This window comes from Homo sapiens, chromosome 1 (genome assembly GCF_000001405.40).
Source record: "Homo sapiens chromosome 1, GRCh38.p14 Primary Assembly".
NCBI lineage: Eukaryota > Metazoa > Chordata > Mammalia > Primates > Hominidae > Homo > Homo sapiens.
Genome location: NC_000001.11, coordinates 200,851,513 through 200,871,000, shown reverse-complemented (window position 1 = coordinate 200,871,000; position 19,488 = coordinate 200,851,513). Strand labels below are relative to the sequence as shown.

The following is a 19,488-nucleotide window of genomic DNA, read 5'->3' as shown; positions in this document are numbered from 1 at the left end:
CAGTTTGATGTTGAAGTGGGGTCATGAAATAATTTATCATCTAACCAGGATGTTTCTGAGAGTGAAAGGGGCACTATCAGAATTAACCTGGGCCGTAAACCAGGACTATTTTGGGCAAACTGGGACATAAGGTCACCCTCGCTCAGGGTCCCTCTGGCACACGGAGATCCCCAGGAAGGATTTGGAAAATGGTCTTAGAGGCCGGGCGCAGTGGCTCACATCTAATCCCAGCACTTTGGGAGGCCGAGGTGGGTAGATCACTTCAAGTCAGGAGCTCGAGACCAGCCTGGCCAACATGGTGAAACCCTGTCTCTACTAAAAATGCAAAAATTAGCCGGGCACGGTACGCGCAAGTCCCAGCTACTCAGGAGGCTGAGGTGGGAGAATCGCTTGAACCCAGGAGCAAAGGTTGCAGTGAGCTGAGATCAAGCCACTGCACTCCAGCCTGGGTGAAAGAGCGAGACTCCATCTCAAAAAGAAAATGGTCCTAGAGCTCACAGAGGGTTGGGTATGCAGTGTTTAGGCTGCTCCTGTCAAGAATTTCTCCCACACCAATTACAAGATGGGCAGGGAAGAGAAGAGCCTAGGGAATGAATGGTCTGGACCTTCCCTTCACTGGCTTTTCAGCCTCCGGGCTTGGTTTTCCCCTGAAGACCCACCCCAGAGCCGCTTTTCTAATGTCTGAGCATGTGGTTGCTGGTGAGCGGTGCCCACATCCGGGGTGGAGTAGGGGGCTGCAGCCTCCTCCCCTAGAAGGCTAGCAGGGGCAGTGCTTGCCTGCCAGAGCCCAGAGACCATCAGAGACAGACCCAGTGTTGCTGGACTTCACCCCTTCAGGCACACCTCAGTCTGCGGGCTCAGAGAGTGTGAGTGATCCTGAAAGCTAGAGATGAACAGCAGAGAAGCCGCCGGGTGAAAACAAAGAATGGGGCAAGCAGACCAAGAGGGGAATATAGGAAGGGGGTTGAGGGGAAGTAGAAGTAGGTTATTTTAAAAATCACAGAGCTACTTGCTTCCTGGGCCATCATCTCATACCCAAGGGAAGTCTGTGGCCCAGAGCATATGCTGAATTTTCTCTGCTGAGGCCTGGGTGCTGTCCATGGGCCTTACTGAACTTGTCTGGATGAGAAGAAACAGCAAAGGTCAGAGCCAGGGACACTGCCTTAGGCCCGGTCTCCTGGGGTGCCCAGCCCGGTTTCAGTGACCAAGGCCAACTTCACAAGACTGCTCTTTCACCCTTCAGGAGGACTCCCCACAGGATTACACACAAGTCAACTAATAGAAACACTCACCCTTACAGGCTGGGAATCCTGGCCATGCTCTCTAACAGGTGTGGACAAAGCAGAAGAAGTCTTCCCTCTTCCTCCATCCCACCCCTGGGAGCCTTCTCTAACCTCCATCCCTAAGAGGACTTCCTCTCTCTGCACTGCTGGAGCCAGGGCAACTGTTACGTGGCTCCGTCTTGCCTTGCCCATGGGATTATGAACTTCTCAGGGCGAGGGGGAGCTTCTTTCTACTCATCAGGGTGATTAGCACAAGCCTGAAAACAGAGGAGATACTTTAAATAAATATCCAATGCTTCGGGCTAAATTGTTTTCGAGAGTAGGTTTATTTCTGCCCCTTTACAGGTTATATTTAAGTTCTTATAACTTATTTTTTCTAATTTTAATTTTTCTGTACAAAGAATCTTAACATTTTAAGTAAATTGTATTTGCCTTTTTATGTTTAATCATAAAAGCCATCTAATACATTACAGAATAAAGAAGTAGTCGTCATCTTGGACCTGCTACCCCTACACAACCAAACTTAGCCAGTGAAGGACATTTTCAAAAGTATTTATTTGTAATCTCATTATTTTTAGATTTTCTATTTTTAAATATTCCATTTCAGATATTCTTCACATTTTTTACACAGGTGTTTCAAAGTCGTATCTGTAATTAGAGTGTACACAGTATTCTCAATTAATATCATATAAATCCACATGAGTCTATGTTGCTTAATTTTCTAAACCCTTAAATATGGATATTTAGGATGTTTCTAGTATTTTTAACTGTTATAGAAATTTGTAATGAATAATTGCACTTATGACTTTTTTATATTGTTTTTATAACATAAATGCTCTTGTATAAGTACATATAAATATGTATTTATATACATATAAATATGTACAAATATAACATATTTATATAAATATGTATAAATATAACATTTATATAAATATGTTGTAAAACACGTTATAAATACAAATTTTGTAACAAAGGCAATGAAAATTTTTATTGCTTGATACAAATGTTTACAGTGATTAGCAGTTTAGAATGTCACTGGCATTGTATGAGAGTATAAGGTTCAACACAGTCTTCTTAGAGATGTTCATCGGTAACATATATTTTCCATTGTAATAGGCAGTGAGGTAAAATGGTACCTCATTTCAATTTGCACTTGTTTATAAATAAGATGGAAAATCTATTTATTTCCTAAGTGAACCATTCTAATCATGTCCTTCACATATTTATTATAATCTATGTATTTCTTATTAATTTGTACAAACTATATATTTAGGATGAGTCATGATTTATTCCACTTGATTCAAATATTTTTCCAAATTCTTTTCTTAGCTATTATTTATTTTAGTTTGACATTTTCATATAGTCAAATTTGTTGCTATTAGCAATTTCAGAGTTTAGAATGTTACTTTCTCTTTGACAATGTAAGAAGATTCAGTCTGTCATTAAAAAATAATTTTCATTAGTATTTTAAAATTTACCTGGTGTGTAATCGATGTTTTCATATTTCTATCCAGCTTTCCTAACATCATTTATTAAATTTAAAATATATATTTTTAAAACCTTGCTCTGTGTTGTGACATAGAATTTATTATATGCATTTCTTTTTTTTATTATATGCATTTCTTTTTTTTTTTTTTTAATAGACAGGGGCTTGTTCTGTTGCCCAGGCTGCAGTGTAGCCCAGTGTGATCATAGCTCACTGCAGCCTCAAATTCTTCAGCTCAGGCAATCCTCCTGCATCAGCCTCCTGAGAAGCTGGGACTACAGGTGCACAGCACCATGCCTGGCTAATGTTATTTTTTACCTTTTGTAGAGACACAGTTTCATTATATTGCCCAGGCTGATCTCAAATTCCTGGCTTCAAGCGATCCTCTCACCTTGGCCTCCCAAAATGCTGGGATTACAAGTGTGAGCCACTGTGCCCGGCCAATATCAATTTCTTATATGTCATTTTGTCTGTTTCTGATCAGTGAACACGCAGATCAGATTATTAGTGGTCAGAGTCCAGGTTAAATGTCAGCTTTATAACTTGATAGCTGTGTGATCTTGGGCTCCAGTTTCCACATCTTAAAATAGGCATGATAGTATCTACCCGATAGGGGTGTTGTGAAGATCAAATGAGGCACCCTTTGTGGAAGGTGCTGCCCATGCTGGGTCGGAGCTCATGGGCTCACTCCGTTCCCTGGCTGGCAGCATCGTGAAGAATGGCTCTAGTTTCTGGTGGTCCTGCTGCTAGACTCAGCTGCTTGCGCTGCTTCTCCTACCCTCCAGGTCACAGTGCTTTCTTTCCACATAGTGGGTGGTAAGTAAATGTTTTGGGGATTGGATTGGGAATCTATAAAGAGAGACTCCCAAGATTTGACTCTTCAAGATTTGACCACCACAGTGTCTGGTGCCTGGTATTATCCTAATGGTGATTTCTACAAGGTGACAGTCTGGATGCTGCAGAGAAACTGCTGACAGGACCCAAGCACAGACAGGTGGCCTTATGCCAAGTCAGTTGCGGATGACGGAGAGGTTAACAGTAACTTGAGTCCTGAGTGTGAGGAAAATCTTGCAAAGCCACATCTCTTTGTTTTTACAACCTCTCTCGATAAACACTGAACTGGGAATGGGGAGTCCTCTATTTTATTCACTATTACTGACTGGCTACCAAGATGAGGTTTCCCATAGACCACATAGCCCTGAGGCCGTGTGTGTGAGTGGGGTGGGGGGCGGGGGGCGGGGAGGGTGGTAGGGACAGGGTATTAGAGGACAGAAGACAGTAATAGCTCTTGCCCCTACCCTGCACCCTCAACATCTAAGGGAGGGCTGGCACACACCAGATGAGGAGCCCCACCCTGGATGCCAGAGGCCCTGCAGAATGTTTCAGATGTTCATTTACTTCAGAAACTTTCAGGTACTAAATACGGGGTAGCTGGGAAAGGGCATCATCTGAGTTAGACATGAGACTCGGCTTCAGCCCACACTGCTAAGGAGATGACTCAATGTGAAAGCCTTGTGGCCTGCAGCTGTGTGATTGTCCCAGGGCCCCCCATCTACCCCGGACATCATTGATGCCTCTTAGGGGACATGGGGGAGGGGGTCAGGGAAGGGAGGGGAGGCTGGAGGAGAAGAGTGTAGCTTTCAAGGAAAGTGAGACTCCTTTCTTCCACTGCAGGTTCCTGTAGCTCGAACGTTTTTTAAAGGTAAAAAAAAAACCATCAGAAACTTAAAAGACAAGCAATAGGGACATCCCCAATATAAAAATGGCCCCAGAATTTGTTTGGAAAGAAAGTAACGTTTTCTCTTTGTAGCAATTATTCTGCCCACAGGAGCTTCTAACCTATGATTTGCCATTACTTTTCAGTGATTTCACAGAGAGTTAGTGTAAATTTCCAAGTATTTGCAGGAGGAATTTGGCAGCATTCCCTTGGCATTGGTAGAGGGTCCCTCTACAGTGCTGTGATCCTGCTACTGATCAGTGAAACCAATTCTTTTTTTTTTTTGAGATGGAGTCCTGCTCTGTCACCCAGGCTAGGGTGCAGTGGTGCAATCTCGGCTCATTGCAGCCTCTGCCTCCTGGGTTCGAGTGATTCTCCTGCATCAGCCTCCTGAATAGCTGGGATTAGAGGCGTGCAACACCATGCCCAGCTAGTTTTTGTATTTTTAGTAGAGACAAGGCTTCACCATGCTGGCCAGACTGGTCTTGAACTCCTGACCTCAAGTGATCTGTCCACCTCAGCCTCCCAAAGTGCTGGGATTATAGGCGTGAGCCACTGCGCCCGGGCCAAAACCAATTCTTAATATCACATTTGATTCCAGTTGACTTTGTAAACAGCCCCTTCTTACTGTGGGGCAAGCACTGTTATTGGGTAATGTAACAGATACAAAGAATGTGACATGGTGCATCCTTACAGGAAGCTTACACATTATTGGAGATTAGCTATAATGTACAAATAACTTTGATATAAGGCAGATTGTGATATCCTGACTTCTATCAAGATTGAAGCAGGTCAGCTTTTCTGAAGAAAAAGGTCTGTGTATAGGAGCCGCCTGAAAAACAGGATCAAGACCTTTAGTGGTTCCAAGCACTGAACAGATTACCACCACCTCAACACCCCACCCCCATCCTCCCCGCAATTCAAAATAAAAACAATGTTGAACTTTTAAGATAAGTCTAAGAAAGTTAGATTTTGCAAGACACTTTGGAGGGTGAAATCGAATTAGGGTAAGACCACTTGAAGGTTCTTGCAGTTAGGCATAAGCTTTTGGTGCCTGGACTTGAAGCTGGTGGCAGCAGGGATGAGGAGCAGTTTCAAAGTAAAAATATTTGATAGGATTTGGTGGCTGTCTGTGCATGAGGCTGTCTTCTGTGTTAGACAAGGGATAAGACCTTTCAGTCTTGGTGGCTGGCTTTCAGGAAGGAGAGTTGCTTTTATAAGGAAGTTGTAAAATCAGGTTGACTTTTGGTTTTTAAACAGATTAAGTTGAGGATGACTTTGGAACTCCCAGGTGAAAATGTTGAGATGGCAGTTAGATGCATGAGTGGGCCCAGAGGAAGCTTTCAGGGCTGGAGATGTAGATTCTGAATGGAGGTGTCAGTCAAAGCTGATATTGAAGCCCTTCTTGGAAAGAGTGGAGACAGCAGAACATGAATAACTGAGCCTTGAGACTGGCCCATAATTTGTGAGAGGAGCTGGAGAGAGGTAAAAAGGAACAGTACATCATTGTGTCACGGTGACCAATAGGTCAGATTTTCAAGCTGCACCTGGGTCCTTTGAAATGGCATGAACCAGGGGGAGTCAGAGCAGAAAAGCCAACTTTGGGTTTGTATTTTGGGGGCAAAAATATCTATAGTAAGAAATGAAGGGTGACCTAGAAGAAATCAGAACATGTTTTGAATTTGATTTTGAATTTTGGGCCAGGACTGCATAGTCCTCCCTTCATGTATTCATTTGACGAATATTTATTGAATACCGATTGTGTTGAGACTATAAGGATAAAGAATCCAAGTACAAACTCATTTCGTAATGTATACAAAAATATCTGTACTTAGCCTCTGGCTAAGAAAGAGGATGCAGTTTAGTTAGTTTTGTTCTCATCATAAATGAGGACCTCAAGGCCCTATCAACAGAACTGATGTCTCTGCAATTCAAAATTCACTATTTATTTATTTTTTTAGAGATGGAGTCTCGCTCTGTTGCCCAGGCTGGAGTGCAGCAGAGCGATCTCAGCTAGCTGCAAGCTCCGCCTCCTGGGTTGACGCCATTCTTCTGCCTCAGCCTCCTGAGTAGCTAGGACTACAGGAGCCCGCCACCACACCCGGCTAAAGTTTTGTATTTTTAGTAGAGACGGGGTTTCACCGTGTTAACCAGGATGGTCTCGATCTCCTGACCTCGTGATCTGCCCGCCTCAGCCTCCCAAAGTGCTGGGATTACAGGCGTGAGCCACCGCGCCCGGCAAAATTCAGTATTTAAAGAATTAATGTGGTATCCTGTTGGCTGACAACGTAAGATAGTCTTTTTTTTTTTCCATACAGCAAGTCTTTTCATTTTTATTACTCAAAAAAGCTTCATTTTTTATTTAGCTTTCTGACTCTGCTTGTGCCTTCAACACTTTCACAACAATTTTCTGCTCCTTGATAAGGAAAGCACGCTTGATCCTGTCACAAACACATTTAGCACACATGGAACCAACATAGGCCCTGCTGACATGTTTCTTTGTTTTGGACAACCTCATAAGAACTTTAGGTCTTACAGCACAAACCCTTCAAAGTCTGCCTGGGCACACGCCACACGCAGATTTTGATGCTTTCCCAACCTTCTTGGTATAAAGGTAAACAATTCTATTACCAGGGGTTCGCGTAGTTTTGTTAGAGGCTGTATTGTAGGAAAGCCTATGACAGTATGTCAAATGCTGGACCATTCTGAGTGCCTGTAGACAAGTTCCCCAGGAAGAGCAGTCTTAAGTTCTTTATAGAGTTAGTTTTAGTAGAGTTAGTACCCTATAAAGTACATGAATTCTCTTGATGGACAAGAGGCTCTTACTGTTGACAAGACAAGGGCGCATCTGTCCTTTACTTTCGGTTCCATACCTCTAATACAGCACACGGTATATCCGTTGTTTGTAAAGGTCTAATGGCATCCACTTCAAGAGTTCCTTGATGGAAGAGAACTTACCTTTGTGACCTACCTAGCCCCTTTCATCTAATAACTGTTTCCTAGATAATTCTGATTAACCTATTATCAGAATTTGTTTTCACCACTTTTGCAGTTTTTCCATTCTCTCATCTTTATGAATCTAGATATTAAACAGCAGGTGAGCGTAACAGGCTGATTTTAGCTGTTGTGTTGATGATGGTTAACAGTCTTGGGCAAGAGAACAAAATCCACTTTAACCACAAGTTCTGAGTTTTCTACCAATGGTGAATACGTTATTAACTAGTAACAGCTGTGAGCCTTATTCTTATTCCACAACATGTACAACGCAGTGGGAAACTGTACCATATGGCACAGTAAGGGGATTTGAAACCAGAAGGCTTAGGTGCCACTTGTAATGCTGTCACTTACTAGCTTTGAGTCCCTGGGACAGCTACTAACCTTTTAAAGCCTCATCTTCCTCATCTGTAGAATGGAGACGTAAATGCTCACCTCCTCCCAGGCAGCAGTAAGTTAAAAGAGAAAGCAAAGCAAAGAATCTTTTAAATTATAAAGCAATTTTTTTTTTTTTTGAGACTGAGTCTCACTCTGTCACCCAGGTTGAAGTGCAGCAGCGCGATCTCGGGTTGAGAGCCACATTTCCTTTTCTATATAAACACACAAACCCTGAAGTATGAATAATAGGGTCGGCCAGGAATCACAGCAGCTGAATGTAACTGTGAAGTAGAGGTGCTGTAGACGATACTTGCCACCTGTGTTGGATGCCTCTAACACCTACTGAAGGCTGAATCACAGGTTCAATCACCTAAAACAACAGGTTGGGGTTAAGAAGAATCAAATGCATTAGTAGCCTAAGGTACCATGGTGGCTTTGCTTAATGTGTCCCCAAAAAAAAAAAAAAAAAAAAACCTTAGTGGGTCTTAAAACATTTCTTAATTTGCTTTTCACCTCTTTGATGGAAAATAATTGCCCCCTATTTTCCTGACATAAATAAGCCACTGTAGATGGAATAAAGTTATCTGATTTTAGCTGTTGTTGTGACACATATCACCACAGTGATTTAAACACATGTACAAAACTAATCTGTGTTGTCTAAGCATGTGGCCTTGAGTTGCTAGAAGACCTACATGCCCACAGGGGCAAAAAGGAAGTGACTGAAACTAGATTCTAGATCTCCTTATTTGAAGAGCAACTCTGACATACCAATCTGTGTACTTCCCCCACCCCCATCAAATTAGGCAAAATCATTAATATCTCATTTGTTTCTTTTGAGAAGATACCTATTTCTTAAGCATCTATATACTTCTAAGGGACGACAGAATTTCACACTCATTTTATAGATGTGTTTCTCCAATAGCCAATTCCTAGGTCATAACATTACAGCTACATTTCCTTTGCTGAATTTTATTATCATCTTTCTGTGTAGACAGATCATGAAATAAAGGTGTTTGTTCCTATTCACTACAGAATATTTTCCTCTGCCCTAGTTAAGAAGTATCAATTTCAGTCATAAGGCAACACATTCTTATTGTGTGGGGGCTCTAGGGTTTGTGTACACTTTTTTTTTTTTTTTTTTTTTTTTTGAGACACAGCCTCACTCTGTCACCCAGGCTGGACTGCAGAGGTGCGATCTTGGCTCACAGCAACCTCCGCCTCCTGGGTTCAAGCAATTTTTCTGCCTCATGTTCCTGAGTACCTGGGATTACAGGCGTATGCCACCATGCCTGGCTAATTTTTATTTTTTAGTAGAGACAGGGTTTCGCCGTGTTGGCCAGGCTGGTCTCAAAACTCCTGACCTCAAGTGATCTGCCTGCCTTGGCCTCCCGAAGTGCTGGGATTATAGGCATGAGCCACCACCATACCTGGCATTGTGTACATTTTTCTAATGTTGCCTGGGTCTTAGGGTTTTTTTTTTTTTTTTTTTTGAGACGGAGTCTCGCTCTGTCGCCCAGGCTGGAGTGCAGTGGTGCAATCTCGGCTCACTGCAAGCTCTGCCTCCCGGGTTCATGCCATTCTCCTGTCTCAGCCTCCCAAGTAGCTGTGACTACAGGTGCCCGCTACCAGGCCTGGCTAATTTTTTTTGTATTTTTAGTAGAGACGGGGTTTCACCATGTTAGCCAGGATGGTCTCGATCCCCTGACCTCGTGATCCGCCCACTTCGGCCTCCCAAAGTGCTGGGATTACAGGCGTGAGCCACCGCGCCCGGCCGGGTTAAATATTTTTATTTCTGAAAATTAAAGTACTGGAAATATTGTGGAAATATAGCTGTGCTCTGAAGTTACAGAACCTATCAAAAAGGTCCCAAGCTAGAAAACCACATTTATGTCTACTAACCAGATATTTCTTCAGGTATATAATTAGGCATGACGATTATTTTATAGTTTTGTTATCAGATCTCTTTTTTCTTAAAAAACACCTTTTTCTTTACTCTGTTCTGAGTAAGTAGAATCAGCAAAATCAAAGTGAAACTTACAAAATAATGGTCAAGAACTAGCTTCTCATGGCTACTCCAGATCAGTGAGTTCACTGGCCATTCAGTTTCAAAGACATAGAGCACTAGTTCTGGTACAATATAACTATCAATTCACCAAAAGATAGTGAATTAGTATGAGCAAGATTAACATAAGATAAGCACATTTATAAATCATACTATGTAGACCGTCTGTGCTAAGCATAGAAAGTTACCGACTTTTTAACATTGCCCTAAGTTAGTATTTTTAAAAGGCTAATTATTTCAAGTTGCCTGTTATGAATATTCAAGTTATTAAATTTAAACATAGGTTAGGGGATAGAAAAACTGTATGAGTTATCTCAAGTTCAAATAATTTTACCAAAAACTACATTTTATTCAAGAAACAGAAAAGGAGTCATTTGGTGCCATGCTTTTATTCAAATGAAAGGGGAAAAACTACACTGTACCAGGAAATAGCAAGTATGACAGTATTTTACAGCACAGCATCTTAAAAAACAAAAAACCTGTAAGCAATGCTCTAGAGTGGACAGGTAAGCACACCATACACTGTACATTGCTCAACAGTGTCCATGAAACCATAATTAAATAGCTGAATTTGGCTTTAAACAGCCAAATAAAACTGTAACAGTCATTCTAATACAAAACGGAAAAACCAAGAACTAAATCTTTCCAAAGCTGTGTCAAATAGCAGAATTTGACAGGCTGCACTGGTAACCACGACAAATGTTTGGCAAACTTAATGGAATAGTTATCATAATAATTTGACCTCTGATGATGAAAGCACCAGTGTGTTTCAGTAAGGTTGACGAAAATCCTCAGACTTTATGAAATGGCATATTTTTCAACTGTATAATTTTAAAAACATAATTAAAAAAAAGCTGCACCATAATAAAAAAATCTGCAGACTTAAAGAAATATATCCATATTCCTTCTGCATTAATAAAGTAAAATCTTATACTGAGAGCAATGAACTCTGTGGCAATATTCACATTCTACCTTTAGACCTTATAGACATTCAATTCAACTGTTGGACACACACAAATTTAAGAATAAAGGGTGGTCCTGTTTAGTTTTAAAGTTTCTCCATTGTCTTGCATCCAATTTTCTTTATTTAATAGCGAAGTAATATCACAAAGATTGCTTTGATGAGGGAAATTTAGTTAATATTGAAATGAACAAATTTAGTAACGTAAAATGCTTATTAAATTATCCTTTTGACTACTATTCACATTTTGATTAGATTCATTTATAATTTTTTAAACTAGTTTTAATCTAAACGTGTATTTGACTATCATTTCCTTCTAACTGTGATAGAAATTACTGTCCAAAAGGTAAAATGTGCAATTCCCCATTTTTAATATCCATATGTTATATACACAATATGTATACACTTAAAATATAAGAGTTACATATCCTGGTCTCTTACATGCAAACAGTAGATCACAAATAGTTTTGAGCTACACATGTATCTTGCACAGGTATTGGAAAAAAATCTGTGAAATTTTTTTACAGTTTTAACAAATATACATAAATATAAGAACATAAATTACAGTAAAATATTGACAGCATTTGAGAAAATGTTGATAACCCAGATGCACTGATGCCTAAAGGCCTTATAATAATAGAAAAGTACAGCTCAGGGACATCTCATTCCTATTCTTTTTTTTAAAATAAGTAAATACATCATATGAGACATTAGTTCTTTCTCTAAACAACTCAATTAGAGAAATGTATATATTTTTATCTCTACTTCCCATGAAAGAAAACAAACTACGCATCTCATTTATGATACAATACTGTCTTCCCCCGCTAGTTTACACATTTGTCACAACACTGAAATATAACAGGGTCACATAATCATTCAAGTCTTTTCCTGAGAATGAAGTTTTTCCCCAACTAACCCTCTGGTATACACTGTTAAAGAACAAAGATCATGTAGAGGAGATTTCAAGTGTATACTTATTCTAAGCCATTCCACTTGAAAAGGATTAAAATGAAGAAAAACCCAATATAAGTAAAATAATGTGAAGCTATTTTAAAATTAAAATGTAGCCCTTTGTACATGTTTAAAAATTCTAAATATAATTTTTATATGAGTTATAAATATAATGTAAAGACTTCTTGAGAACTTGTTTCAGGAAGTCTTACATCTTCAGATTGAAAGACTACTCTCAAAGTGTCATTCACTTCTGCCAACTTATAAAGTGACTTACTTTAAAAGAGATAGAAAGCCTTTTTTGTTAAAAGAACAATCTAAATTATTCTGAGTTGGCCAGAAGTGGTGTAAAAACAGCACTGATTTAATCAGCAACTTCTCATAACATATTCTTGGTTAAGCTCATGTGGTTTAAAGCGAACCTACTAGCAGCTCTTTACAACACCTCCTCTTATTTAATAGAGAATGTTAATACTTGAGTGAATAATAAATAGAGTTGTAAATACTTAGCAGAATAATTTTTGCAAATGCTGTAACACCATTAAAATATGAGGGTTACTGTAAAACTAAACACTAGTGTTTCTCTTAACATCATAAGAAAGGTGCGAGTTACTTCTAAAGGTATATTTCCTACTTTCATGATCTCCACATGAAATAAAATACAAAGGTATCTTAGAATAAACCCCCAGGAGAGAAAAATAGCAAACCATCTGAAGACAAGAATATACATTAAAAGGTTAAAAAAAAGCAACAAATAAAACACATAATTTGTAATCTTAACCATATTTCAATGATAAATCCAACTAATATCCATGAAAATTCAGTGCTTTAATGTATCTAATATCAAGCAGGTGAACCTGATAACACATACAAATCTCCATTTGTGAATTAAAACATTTCCTTCATCATTTGGACTTATCACTTAATTGAGAATGTTCTGCACTCCAAAATACTGTGGTTTACATTCCAGTTGTTCATGACAACAGAGCTTAATGTCCAGTTTTAATTAATAAAAGTCTTGTTGGCAATTAGAAAGATTTTCTATAGGCAGGAAAGATGAAGTGCAAATTTACCATGAATGTTCTGAAGCAAGTATTTCCCAACTTCTATGCCTTAGTGGGTAAAAGTTTTTTGGGTGTTACTGGTCTTTTGGTCTGCCATAAATGGCTATGAATGGTAATTGCATCAACACTGGCAGATAAAGTTTTAGCGGGTATGTGGCTAAACTGTTTCCTGTCAGAATTATATTTGTAAAGTCCTTCAATCATTTTTTTAGTGATAGATTTAGGGCCTATCCCAGTCAGTTTATTGATTTCTTCAGTTTCTGGGCAATAAGTGTATAAAGATCTGAACTGGCATCCTGAATCCCGGAACAAGATTAAGAAGTTGTTGGCATCTGATTTCTCCATTTCCTTTAAAATAAAAAACAAAAACAACATAACAACACGAATAAAAACCCTTTATTTTGCTGAATAAAGTTTATATAATTATGTTACGTTTCTTAGTCACATTTTATAACATTATTTCAATGACAAATCTTAAAGCCTATTGCTAGTCTTTAATAAAATCTGCAGGCTTCCAGAACCTAATGTGAAAATAAACTAAATCTGATAATTAAAACATCTAGCTACAGATCTTTTTACATGCTGTTGAAAGTCTAGGCCCATGAGAGTACATTCTCTTGAATGGATAAAAGACTTCTACAGTTTGCCAAATTTAATTTTCATGCAAACATGCTTACCTCCAGTATTTTTTTCTTCTGACCTTCATTTACTTTTCCAGCCAAACAGCAATGAGCTAAAGCATTTTGTATTATGTGCTTATTGGATTTTGCACTGGGTTCTTTGTAGAGCTTTGGTCCTATGGTAGGGATTTAACAACAATAATAAAAATAACATTCCTAAGTCAGAAATACTACTATTTTAAAATGATGTAATTGTTCCTACACTGCTGAAATATTGTAATAGAAGACCAAATTCTGTGCTTAAAGGCCTCTTACTGGCTGCAATCCAACCAAAACATTGTTTTATCCACCCAGAGATATGGAGGATGTTCCTATGGCCTTTTGGAGTACCCTGTGAGAGCAGTACTAAAAATAAAATATTGCTATAACTGTCATACTGCCTATTTAACCTTCTTTCTTAAATCTATACGGTTACTGGTTAGCTTAGAGTAGAATGGGTCCATGAGTAATTTAAGTCTTTTCAAAAGGCAAAAAAAAGCTTTCTTTTTCAGATTGTTCAACTGAACTAACATAGAGAAGCAGAGTGAGTAACATGGAAATACTGTCAAATCCCAGGCCTTAAAGGCTGTCAGACTGGCGGTAGGAGGTAGTATTAAAAGCCACAGAGTGGGTCTCTAGCAAGTTCTAACCTCCTTAGGCCTTTCTAGGGTTTCCACTTCCACTCTATCATGGATAGATGGAGGCATCTCCTTTTCCCTCTGCTCTTCCCCATACATGTTCTCCCATGCCTTCCTATCTTACCTCTCAACGTGCTGCTGACATTTCTTCTGATTTCTCTCCTGCTTCATTTATTTAGAAGTGTCCTTAACCCACATTCTATTCTTCATTGCTTTTATTCCAATCATGCCTACCTAGAAGCTAGAAGAGGACTTGGTGGCGATATGTGAGGCTAGATACCTTCCTAGATTCAATGCATTCTTATCTTTTAGAGCCTCTTAATACTTGCTAAAGGTGCACAATTCTGGATACCTGGAATCCCAGTATTAGGGAGAGGACTTGGTGGATTCTAGCCTTTACTCAGTACTGAGGAACTATGTAGAACTTCTCTAAAACTTCTTCGGACCCAAACTACACACAGAAATGGCCAGCATTGGTTAGAGGGATGAGATATAAGTAGCATCACTAATTTTGTTTAGAAACTTACTGAACTACCTGAAAGTGACCACCTGCATTCACTGTTTATTAGTTGCCTATGTTTAAGACCCAAAGGTGAGCCAATAAAATTTTCTTTAGTACACCCTCCATTTATGAGTGTGTTAAATTCAAATGTTTCTCTAAAAATGTATAGACACTAACCTGTATATTCTGTTCCAGAAGCCACTGAAGAAGTTGTTGATGCATTCTCCCAGTCTTTTTCTCCATTTCGACTGCCACAACGACTTGGAGATAAGAAGCCTTCTACAGACTCTGATCTAATTAGAAAATAAAATATGTTTTATGTCTCAAACAGAGAAAAAATGGGGCCCAGAGGGTATACGTGAAAGTAACAATCAAAATCAACCTAAAGGCCTAAAAATAATATGATAAGGCCGGGCGCGGTGGCTCATGCCTGTAATCCCAGCACTTTGGGAGGCCGAGGCAGGTAGATCACAAGGTCAGAAGTTCGAGATCAGCCTGGCCAATATGGTGAAAGCCCGTCTCTACCAAAAATACAAAAATTAGCTGGGCATGGTGGTACGCGCCTGTAATCCCAGCTACTCAGGAGGCTGAGGCAGAAGAATCACTTGAAGCCAGGAGGCAGGGGTTGCAGTGAGCCGAGATCGTGTCACTGCACTCTAGCCTGGGCAATGGAGAAAGACTCCGTCTCAAAAAAAAAAAATTAATAATAAAAAATAATATAACATTGTTTGTCTTATTCGCAGCTACACATCCAAGTTCCTAGAACATAGTAAGCATTCTATAAATATCTGTTGAAAGAGTGAATGTTTTTCAATGTGAAAACTGGCAAATAACACAAAGGATGGTAATACAAAGATAAGAACTCTAAGATGATGACTGTCACTAGAAATGTTCTTTTCTGATATGATATTATAGTATAAAGTAATAAAATACTGACTTTTAGCTTCTAATCTAGAGAAAGAATCCTAGAGAAAGAAAATACAAAAGAGATCCTTCCTAAGTCATAGGCAACCCACTTTGGAATTATTCTAATGGGGAAAACTCCTTTGTCTTAGTTGGTAATAGACTAGAGAAGTTGGTACTCTCATTCTACTGACTGTGATTTAATAATCATGTTAGCAATTACTGATGTATAATTACTGTTAATGTTTCATAGCTTATAAAAAGTATGTTATCAATGTCAATAATTCTAAATTCTAAAAGACAAGCACTGAAAGATGAATAGACACCTCTTTACATAATTTATTTTAACAGAAACTCTAACAGTCCTAAGTCAGCAAAACTTAGTAAAATTTGTGATTATGATTTGGTCATTATAAAATGTAAAAACACTGAAGAATTTTTACTTAGAGTTTGTATAATTGCAGGTACTATATTCTTTTCTGTAAAAATATTCATACGTTATAGATTTACCTTGGCGTCCTCTTGCCTGAATGTACACTCTCGTTATCACCCGTGTTCAGCGATGCCAAAGAAAGGCTAGAGACTGAAAAAACACGATAAATTCATGATCCTGAATAAAAACAAAATCAGAAATTTAAAAGGAGCAACTAGCAAAGAGTCTGTTCATTAGATAACACCAGCATATAAAAATTGAGCTTCTGTAGTTTCTTTTCCTTTTCTCTGTACTTTTAAACACATAATATGCTTGCATGCATATATACACAATTTATTTAAAATTAGCAAGGAACCTACTTTTAGGAAACAATGATAAAACTAACTTGCGTTCCAAAAGGAAAGTGTTAATATGAGACGTGATACTGTGATCCTAAAGAAAAAAACAATAACAAAAAAAAATTTCATAATATCTAAATTCTAGGTAGAAAATTATATCAATTAGTTTTACAGGCTTGAAAACAGAGTTCTCTTTAAACAGTCAATATTATGTTATTTTTCCTCAGGTTTAGTATAACTATGAGAATTCTCTAAAAAATTTCCATGGCATTTGGTTTTAATAAAGATTTCTTTTATTTTTACGAATTTATCCCTGCCCCCCAAGATTTTTTTAAAAATAAGAGTATGGCCAGGCGCAGTGACTCACACCTGTAATCCTAACACTTTGGGAGGCCAAGGCAGGCAGATTACTTGAGCCCAAGAGTTCGAGACCAGCCTGAACAACATGAAGAAACCCCATCTGTACAAAAAATACAAAAAAGTTAGCTGGGTATGGTGGCACTCACCTGTAGTCCCAACTACCCAGGAGGCTGAGGTGGGAGGATCACCTGAACCCAGGGAGGTGGAGGCTGCAGTGAGCCATGATCACACCACTGCACTCTAGCCTGGGCAACAGACTGAGACCCCGTTTCAAAAAATAATAATAGTAATAATGAGTATGTATACTGACTTTTAAAGAAAATATATTCTCTCAACTCCAGATATTATAAGTTTGGATTTTCAACCATTTCTATCTTGAAGGAGGGACTTGTGAACTCTTGATCTTGCATTCCTTATTATACCAACATGTTTCTTGTACATTTCATGCATATAACATTTATTTAAATTTATAAGTATGTAAAGGGCAGTTAATAGTTCAAGGAGATTATATCTGAGGGCACAGTTCCCTAATAGATTAATATTTAGATTTGATTTTTAGCATTCACATTTGTTCTACTGAATATATGCATGCACACATAATACATTTAATTTATTAAAAACTTCATTTGCTCATTTTGGTTTTCCAAAAGGGAGCATGCACAATCTCAAACTGTGTATCCAATTTTGCACATCAAAGTACAACCAAGTTAGTATGACAAACCAATCAAGCTGGTGTTTTTTATGAACAGACTCTTCATAATAAGCTATGTTACCTGGAGGACCCTTTATTGGTGTTTTGGGGGATTCAATATGATCTCTGTGAATAGATTTTGGTCGCTGTTTTTTTTGTTTTACTACTTGAGGACGGGGTTTAATTACTGTATCCATATCTTCCATTAGTTTCAGTTGTTTCCGCCTCATATATTCTTGCCTAATAAATTCTCTGCGTGCTCTCTCATCTTCTTTCTTCTGACGTTCTTCCTCAGTTTTACGCCTAAGAAATCAAATGGTTACAGTTCTTATTCTGCATACCAAAGACAAACCATACAGGAGAGAGTTATGTATTTGATATGAGAAAGGAGAATTCTATTTCATCACCTTGGTGAATAAATGGTTCATTTAAAAGGTACTTGACGATTCTGCTGAGACATGGGATTAAGCATAAATAAGTAAATAAAGGAGGGAAGGAAGAGTCAAATAAATAAATAAAAATAAAGGTATTTGAGATAATTTAGGTCGTGTGTGTGTGTGTGTGTGTGTGTGTGTGTATCTCCCAGGAAAGTTATTTTAATGTTTTTTAAACATATAATTATTTAAATTAATGTTTCTAGAGAACTTTCCCATGAGATGCCTTAAACTTAAGATAAAAATATAAAATTAGGCAATACTTTGGGAAAATAAATTGATTTCTACAAAGCACCAAAAAATAGCATTGATCCAGCTGTCTATCTATACTACAAACTTCTCTGAAAGAAATCTGTTAATAAAAATTAATGAGAGACCACCTCTTTGAGTACTTACCAACTTTTTCTAAATATGCCCATGCATCATTAAAGTTCAGATCTAGCACTGGGCCAGCAATTTCCTTTACCTTGTTTCCTCCTTCTTATGCTCCATTTCTGCTTCCAACTGTTGTTTCCGGAGCTGAGTTTCCTTTTCCCTTCTTAATCTTTTCTCCAACAAAGCTGCCCGTTTCATTGCCATATCATTTTCTGCTTTTTGATCATCCTAAGAACGAATTTCATTGAAAACGATCAAACATTTTAGGTACCAATATTCTCATTTTCAATTGTTGTAGTCACATTTTGTGGTTAGTCCTATAACTGAAAGTTTGAACTATTACAACCCTTCTGAATGTGGGTGTGGTTGAGAAATTATGAAGGAAGAACGGAACTACAGTGGTAACAGTTCCATCAAAAAAGAGGACAGGCAAACTTATTTAATTACACTCTGTCAAAACCTATGAGATTTGCAAAGAACAACCATAAAAACAAAACAAAAAAGCACAAATTTTTTTTAACCCTAATTTAATAACTTACAGTAGGTAGTTCCCCCACCAATTTTTAAAATTGCATTTAAATTTTATTTAAAATATAAGCTCAGTAAAAATACCTCAAGTAAAAACATCCCAAAATTAGCCACCCAATGTTGTAGCACATAAATGAAACTATTGCTGCATGATTTTAAGTTGAGGTACTGACAGTCTGCTTGATAGGTTCTGAACTATAATGAACATTTTTCCATTGAAGAAAAGATGGGGATGATTATACTTCCCTTCTACAGTACTTTTAATTTGAGAGCTAGTTCATTATCTATAGGCCTCCTGGGCCTGCCCTAGTTTCTACCTGAATCCTTAGGGACAGCCCTAGTTCTCAGCGGGCTTCCAAAATGCTTCAGAATTCAGCAAAGTAACAAGCTGTTGTAGAAGTGGTTCACTGTCTTAATGTCTCCTTGTCAACTGTCCCTGCCAATGCTTAATTCAATAAACATTTCTTTGGTGTCTAACATACTCACAACATAGTGTCAGATATTACATATATTAAAATATATGGTACCTCAGGTCAAGGAGCCTAAAAAATCACAAGGAGAAGAGGTACAAACAACAGGCTTTGTATGGAAACCCAGAGAGAGATTTAACTCTGAATGGAGAAAGTCAGAAGATACCATTCAAGCAATTAGTTCAAACATTCATATGTCTTCATCTATCAAATTACATATATTGTAGTTTGCCAGACACTTTATTATGCTATGGGGAT

General features: G+C 38.3%; 1 protein-coding gene and 1 pseudogene across 7 annotated transcripts in view, besides 2 other annotated features; both read right to left on the bottom strand.

The window, feature by feature from the left end:
- Window positions 4,023-4,072: a silencer, noted in NCBI's record as "silent region_1678". NCBI's record gives its function as "represses an Ori minimal core promoter by ATAC-STARR-seq in GM12878 lymphoblastoid cells {active_cell/tissue: GM12878}" and the evidence as "EXISTENCE:reporter gene assay evidence [ECO:0000049][PMID:35858748]".
- Window positions 4,363-4,412: an enhancer, noted in NCBI's record as "active region_2303". NCBI's record gives its function as "activates an Ori minimal core promoter by ATAC-STARR-seq in GM12878 lymphoblastoid cells {active_cell/tissue: GM12878}" and the evidence as "EXISTENCE:reporter gene assay evidence [ECO:0000049][PMID:35858748]".
- RPL34P6 (ribosomal protein L34 pseudogene 6) lies at window positions 6,801-7,227 on the bottom strand (annotated as a pseudogene).
- CAMSAP2 (calmodulin regulated spectrin associated protein family member 2) overlaps window positions 10,297-19,488 on the bottom strand; it is a 121,812-nt gene continuing 112,620 nt past the window's right edge. For all 7 annotated transcript variants that reach the window (NM_001297707.3, NM_001389638.1, NM_203459.4 and 4 more), the window contains 6 exons: window positions 18,324-18,460; window positions 17,506-17,726; window positions 16,112-16,184; window positions 14,876-14,991; window positions 13,577-13,695; window positions 10,297-13,247 (listed from right to left, as the gene is read on the bottom strand). In NM_001297707.3, coding sequence (NP_001284636.1) covers window positions 12,942-13,247; window positions 13,577-13,695; window positions 14,876-14,991; window positions 16,112-16,184; window positions 17,506-17,726; window positions 18,324-18,460 — 972 coding nt within the window. In that variant the 3' untranslated portion in view covers window positions 10,297-12,941. The remainder of the gene's footprint in view (window positions 13,248-13,576; window positions 13,696-14,875; window positions 14,992-16,111; window positions 16,185-17,505; window positions 17,727-18,323; window positions 18,461-19,488) is intronic.